Source organism: Homo sapiens, chromosome 15 (assembly GCF_000001405.40).
Source record: "Homo sapiens chromosome 15, GRCh38.p14 Primary Assembly".
Taxonomy (NCBI): Eukaryota; Metazoa; Chordata; class Mammalia; order Primates; family Hominidae; genus Homo; species Homo sapiens.
Window position 1 is genome coordinate 95556472 of NC_000015.10, and position 7723 is coordinate 95564194.

At 36.1% G+C, this 7723-nt stretch overlaps 1 annotated feature.

Moving 5' to 3' along the window:
• Positions 1129–1423: an enhancer, noted in NCBI's record as "tiled region #12634; K562 Activating DNase matched - State 5:Enh". NCBI's record gives its function as "activates a minimal TATA promoter and a strong SV40 promoter by Sharpr-MPRA in K562 cells {active_cell/tissue: K562}" and the evidence as "EXISTENCE:reporter gene assay evidence [ECO:0000049][PMID:27701403]".

Consider the following 7723-nt stretch of genomic DNA (forward strand, 5'->3'; position numbering starts at 1 on the left):
TCTAAGGAATTCTCTGTTCTAGATTTCAAAGATGCTAATATATTCTTTTAGCATTCCCTAAATTTTCAACAATAAACTCACAGCTTTGCAGATTCTCATTCTGGTTCTTGGAGAGAATGTACGTCTTTACATATTTGCAGATTCATGTGTGAAACTTCAGATGAGCTTTCGGGAGCCTTGTGTTAATTAAAAAAGGGAAATCAATGGGCCTGTGAATCCACCTTTTCCTGGGGTTAAAATCCAAGAAGAAATTAAGACCAAGCTAAACAGAAAAACTACATGGGTGGGAGAAATATTTACCATGTATACACAACTCTCTCTCAAGCACACATAAAATACATTATTTTTTTATTGAAGAAAAAAGATATTAAAAAATCCAGTGACTGATTTTGCTTCTTGAACCAAATCAAATATTTTTTTGTCCGAGCTCTCATAACTGCAGTCTGCAGAGGTCACGGCCTCAACTTTCTCCTTCAGATGGTCTGCGAGTGGAATGTCCTTACCATTAAGGCTCCTTTTGTTTTCCTTGGGAGGGTTTTGCTTACACTGGCAAGCGGCTGAGACGAACCAAGGTTCTCTAGACTCTGTTTATTAGGTTTTTATCTTCTTATCAGAGTCTTCCTTCTTAAATCATGTCAGCATTTTACCACTCTTCAGGGATTCCTGGTGTTTTATTGTCTATGAACTGCTTGGGGGGTGGTCAGGGAGGGAGCTCGCCTAACAAATATAACATTTATAGAATAGTAGAACCAGAGAGGACGCCGCGCTCACTTATTATTCCCACACTCACCCGACGTTTCCTCTCCCCCTGCGGGTGAGGAGCCCCCGGGAAGCCCCTTGCCAGCTCAGCCCACGCTTATTTGTCAACGAAGTGACATGGCTTCTCTGTGGACAACCTGCTTTTCAGTTATTTTGAGTGGCTCTTTAAGCCCATATGTACTTGCTTAAGCCATTTTCAATCATCCAAAGAGACCATCGGGTGAGTGGGCGATTGCTTTGAACTTGAGAACATTATTGGGTTTCATTCGCAGATGTAATCTGGATGTAGGGGGTCCGTTTCTATACCTGCTTTTCCTACCACATCGGATTCAGACTTTAAAATAGCCTCATGCCAAAGTGTCCAAACTTCGTAGTCTAAGCACAAGGTTCGGAGGGAAGGTGAGAAAAATTGCCTAGCTTTAGCTAAGGCAGGGTTTTTATGGGGCAGTGGAGGGAGGTGGCCAGAAACCAGGAAGACAAGAGGAATGCTCACTGCTGGGAAAGTGAGTCATCTCTTTTCCCTTTCATTGCTACCCACATGACTCATCATAGTATTATATTTTTAACCATAGGCTGATTATGTCTAGTCACATGTGTTTAAAACAAGTTCTAAAAATAAGGTTAATTAGGAAAAAAACACCTTGTCAGAAAAAAAAAATCCACATCTTTTCATTGAGGTCATAAAGTGACTTTATTGTTATTAATACATATTGGTTTCAAAAGTGGTAAAAACCGTAAGACAATGGCAATAAAACAACTCCTAAAGAGGCATGAGGTTCTAAGGCAGTAGATTATGCTGATATGTGAATTCTTATAGATATAAATTAATTCTATGTATTAGGTTGGTGCAAAAGTAATTGTGGCTTCTGCCATAAGCTCATATAAGATGAGAGTTTGATCTACAAGGGGGGATTATAGTTATTAAAGAGCATTAAACTGCTTTCTAATGTTCATCTATCCTTTCAAAAAATATTTATTGAGTGCTTACCTGTGTGAGGCATTGTTTATCTTGGAATCCCCAGTCTACAGGGACATGGCAATAACTGCCTGGTGTACACACTGGTCTATGTACTCTTGTCTTAGTGCATTGTCCCGGAGAATATACAATTCTCTTTCTAGTGATGAGTAACTGTTTACTCCTACTCTTTGTTAAGACCTCAGGGTATGTATGTTCAGTATTCCATGGTAAGGAAGTCTGAATTCGATGGAGGATCACATGGGTTTCTTTTTTATTTTTTTCCCTCTAATGAATCTTGAATGACATTTCTTTTTCTTTAAGAGCATTTTCCCTACTTATTAAAGCAATAAGTTCTTGTGGAAAAGTGCTTAACATAACAGTTTCACGGCCAGCTTTCCCTTCCAGCTGATAACATCGCAGAGAAAGACGAACACAAGGCTTGGAAATTTGGGACTAAATGCTAACATGATTTTTTAGATAAAAATGAATAGTAATAAAAGAAGTTTGAAATTTTATCATGAAGACTTAAGTGCATTTTTCAAGTGAGTTTCTACTTAGCTTTTTTTTCCCCCTCAATTCCCTTATCGCTGCAACTCAAATTTGAGGGACTTATCGTCTTCACTAATCCATCACTTGAGCTTCATTTTCATGATTTTCTGTGACTTGAGTACTCCAACTATTTAGGGTTCCCCATACTGCCTCAGCATCAACATAATTTCACCTTCATAATTGATTGATTGTACCTTTCACAGAGAAAAATATGAATAAAGGCCTGGATTTTACTAGAATGTAAAAGATAATTGCTAATATAATAAAACACTTGGTAGGACTACTGCTCTCATGAAGTTTAACCTTCCAAGGCTTTCTAAACTTAGTAAAATTATATTAGTCATCTCCTTGTTGTTACTATTATAATAATTTCTTAAAGATACGATGGTTGACTCAGGGTTATTCATTTTTTCATCATTCATTCAGCTAGCATTTATTTATTAGCTGCTGTCTTCCAGACTTAGTGTCAGGTATTAAAAGGAAGAAGAACTAAACGTAATACTTATTTTTGTTATGAGCTCCTACTTGAGTTTCTTAAAGTTTGATTAGCATGTAAAGAAATATTTACAATACAGTAGATAAGAGCTATATGGCATCACAATGGGGAGAGCCATGGATATTTCGAAGACCCAGTCAAGTGGAAAGTTAGGTTCCAAAGAAAAAGTAGGAATTTAGGGGAGGAGTTCATATTTCAGGCAGAGAAGTGTTAGGCTTGGGCATAAGGAAAAGAATGTGCAGGAATTGCCCTGGGGAAGGCACAATTTCCCAGTAGCTGGCAGGTATTGGAGGAAGTGATTGAGGGGATATTAAGGGTTAGGATACCGTTTAGTAATGAAGGTCCCCTGTGCCCTGCAAGGAGATTTGTGAGGTTCACCCCATCCCTCTGCATCCACCCCAGTGAAATCAATTTTCAGACTCTATGTGGTCAATTAGCCTTATTAATTACAAACATTTTACTACTTTTTGAGTTTAGCCAGGCACATGATCACATCCATTTTATCTGTTACTATTTTGTTAAGCCATTGCTTTTTATCTAGGTTATAAGAATAAGACAGTGAAAACTACCCTTCTATAATACAACCAAGTGCAGCAGTCCCCGTTTATCCACAATTTTGTTTTCCGCAGTTTCACTTACCTGTGGTCAATGGGGGTCTGAAAATAGGACATCACTACCTGTGTGCTTTGGGGCCATTATTAAGTCAAAGAAAGGTTAATTGAACACAAGCACGGCAACAACAGGACAGTCAATCTGATAACAGAGATGGCTACTAAGTGAGTCATGGGCAGACAGTGCAGACAGCCGGGATCTGCTTCTCCAAGAAATGATTCATGTCCCACGTGCGACGGAGCAAGATGGCCCAAGATTTCATCACACTACTCAGAATGTGGCACAATTTAGAATTTATGAATTGTTTATTTCTGAAATTGCTCATTTACGTCACAATGCCTATAGCTATGCATCCCTTTATCTCATGACATAGACATTTTATATTTCACATCATCACAAAGAAAAGGGTGAGTACAGTACAGCAAGATATTTTGAGAAAGAGAGAGAGACCACATCCATATACCTTTTATTACGTCATATTATTGTCATTGTTCTATTTTACTATTATTGCTGTTAATTTCTTATTGTGCCTAATTTATAAATCACACTTTATTATAGGCATGCATGTATAGGAAAAAATATAGTGTATATAGGATAGTGTATATATGTAGATAGTGTGTAACTATCTATAGTTACAGGCATCCACTGAGAGTCTTGGAATTTATATGTATCTCTATATTATAGATATATAGATATATATAAATATACATATATAGATATATGTATAACTTTATATTAAACAAATAATATAATATATAACATTACGTATTTATTGTTATGTATGTAATATATAATGTTCTATTATGTATTATATACATTATACATAATGTATATAATATAATATATATAACTCATATCACCACAAAATGAAGTGTGTTTAAGGTTTTCCAGCCTATGATAATAGTACTTGTCCCAATTAAAAATAAGATTTAATATTTTAGCTGGCATAAAAGTAGACTTGAAGACAGAGGCAAATTTAAGACTCAGAAAACAATGCAGAATACAGAGCACTGAGGAGATGGAACTCGATGAAAAAAGCTTCAGGTGTGATCATCCAGATTCTAATTTGGATACTAAAATATCGGGTAGATTTCACCCGTGACTGAAAGTCACAGAAATGCTCCGATGACATGAAATTTTTCACATGCGCTACAAATGTGGCTAACCAAAGTATTATGATTCTATGTGAGAATAAAAAAATTAAATGTATAGACAACTAGAATTATTTTTCGATTATAGGACAAAGAGTCAACTGTTCTTGTAGATACTAAATTCACAGGGAAACTTAAGCTTATTTTGTTTCTCAAGGTGAACAACTTAGAAATCTTCTAAGCTGCAACTCTCTCTCTCTAATATATATATATATATATGAGATATATATGTGTGAATATATATAAACCAATAAGCATTGACACACTGTCAAATGTACTTTTGTGACTTTTCTCTTAAAATACTCAAACAACCATATCTTTCTCTATTTCCTGCACAGGTGATTTTGCAAACTTGGTTAAATGACACTTCTCAAAAATAAAATCTATTTGGAGAGAAAACTTTATGAAAAGGCAAATGTAGCAGCTAGTTCATTGCATCAGATCTACTGCAGTTCAAATGAAAATGTGAAGAAATTCCTCGTGAAGAATCATGTCAAAAGTTTACATTTGAACTAGTTTCCAAGAGATCATATGCTTTAACTCCAAGTTAAATGATGTATGGGCCATATCTCATCTTTTTCCTCCTCCCCTACTTCAACCTTTTCCCCAGTAATACCACATCTCCCATACTCACTCCTTCACGCAAACACATAACACACACATACCACCACTTCACATTCCTTCTCTCACACACATCACTCCACACACACACATACACCAGCACACACACATTCCATTCATTCACAATCATATATACACAAATAGACAAACACTACTCCACACTCACATACACATACACAGACACACACACACACCATGCTTTCAGATGTGCAAACACAAACACACACCTTTTGGACCTACTATTTATTATATTATGCATCCCTGTAGGATTATGGCTTGGCTATCTCAAGTGTTTAGAGTTTTATTTTATTTTTATTTTTATTTTTTATTTATTTAGAGACAGAGTCTCACTCTGTCACCTAGGCTGAAGTACAGTTGTGTGATCATTGCTCACTGCAGCTTGAAACTCCTGGGCTCAAGCAATCCTCTTGACTCAGCCTACCAAGTAGCTGGGACTACAACACCCAGCTAACAGTGTTTGGAATTGAAAGTGTGCAGAGCAGAGAATCATGAGACAAAAAGAGAAAAGTTAAAGAATAAAATTATTGACAATAGGTGCCCATCAAATTCTCATTCCTTCCTCCATGCTTGACAATTTCACATAGGCCTGCAAAGATTGGTTCTTACTTAAGAGTATATCAGAGAGATTCATGTCAAAGGCCCCCTTACCCCAACCTTGAGATTAAAGAAAATGCTATCTGCTGATGAAAGAAGACACATGAAGTATGGATCATGTAGAAACCAGTTTAATTTCAGCCTCTTCACAAAATAGCAGATTGGAATTTTCCTAGGAAGAGTTTGTATTTGTTTTGTTTTGTTACATTTTGTTTTCTAATTATAGACTTAAAAAACAAAACTTAGAGACTAAAGGAGATAGACGGCTAGCATGAATGTAAACTAACAACTACTTTTTATATAGAGCAAATGGACAACATATATCAGAAGCCTTTATAATATAAAGCCCACTGATTTAGTAATTCAGATATGTAAAATGCCGACCAAGGAAATTATCCTAAGTAAAGAAATAAAGTTTTGTGTCTGATGCCCTCATAGTGATCAATATTATATTGTTTACAGTGGCAAAAACTTGGATATAAGAAAATATCAACAACAGGGAAATGATTAGTAAATAATGAAGCATCCTCATAGTGGAACGATAAATAGCCATTAAACTCTGTCAGATTTTTTCTAGTAACAAAGAAAATGCATATAATAAAATTCAAAGTGTATGGCCAAATTTAAAATACTGTATACAGACTGATCTCAATGATGAGACAAAGGCAAAATAAATAAATAATAAAAGATTGAAACCAAAATACCAGTGGAAGTCATCTGTAGGCAATATGATTGTGGATGTTTTCTTTTATACTTTTAAGTACTTCCCAAATTTTACACAATAAAAATGAATTAAATAAACTGTATTCTAGAAACACAATGGGATTGATTAGCTCTATTTATTCAGCTACATTGGTTTCCATTTTCCCAGTGGTTTTATTATCTAAATTACATTATGAATAGTGTGAAACGCTTAGAGACAACACGCGTGCTTTTGATATGCTGAAAACATATTTCTTAGAAAAGCCGAGATGTTAGGAGAAAGTACATCAAATGCAACTTCAAACTTGTAAAATCTAGCTTAATACCAGTTTCTCATAGCTGGCATCTAGTTCCTAGAAAATGTGGGATGTTTCTATTACTGTTTGCAAGTTTTGAATGTTCTGAAATATTACCAAAGTTATACCAAAAATTCTAACAGTAGAAACAAACTATTACATTTACTTTTGTATCAAATGCAAAGTATGCATATGGAATGGATTAATCATTAATCACTTCTTCATTTACAAATCACTAGAGCTAATAAAATTATTTATAAATCACTAAGGCTAATAAAATTATTTTCTTTTTAGGATGAGGGAGACAAATATTAATTAAGGGCTTACTGTTCCAGAATGTGTTAGAGGTGCTTTAAATTCAGAGGTTATAACCCAGAGGTAAAGAGCTCATCCCCTGTCAATTACACAAAGCTGGGTTTAGTTCTCAGCTCAAGTACACAGTGTGACCCTGGGCAAATAATGTATCAGGTGCCGAATTCCTTATTTACAAAACTGGTATGGCAATGGCAGTGATTTCATTTGAGCCAAAGACAGAAGAAGCCATTTGTGCAAAGCCTCCCCAGAAACACAGCCTAGGGCCCATTCCTGTGAGTCATCCAGGGAGGCTAGAGGTTAGGGTACAGGTGGAAACAGAAGAGGCAGCAGGTGACGTTAGGCAGGAGGGCACCGGATTGAATGCCACTAGGTTTCGATTTTATCCTGAGGGCACTAGGGCACCATTGACTGGATGAAGTGAGAGGGATATGCTTTGTAAGCATTTCTGGAATTATAGTGCGGGGTGCTGAAAACTACTCTGCTTAAATGGCCAAGAACACATGTATCTTTGTTGTAGGTCACAATTGTATAGCATGACATGTTATAAGAGGTACAGAAAGTCTTTAGGGCAGCCTTTTTGATCTCCTGGGTATTGGGGAAATAAGGAAGGGTCCTATCCCTGGCTTCATGTTTTCCTGTGGATGGAGGG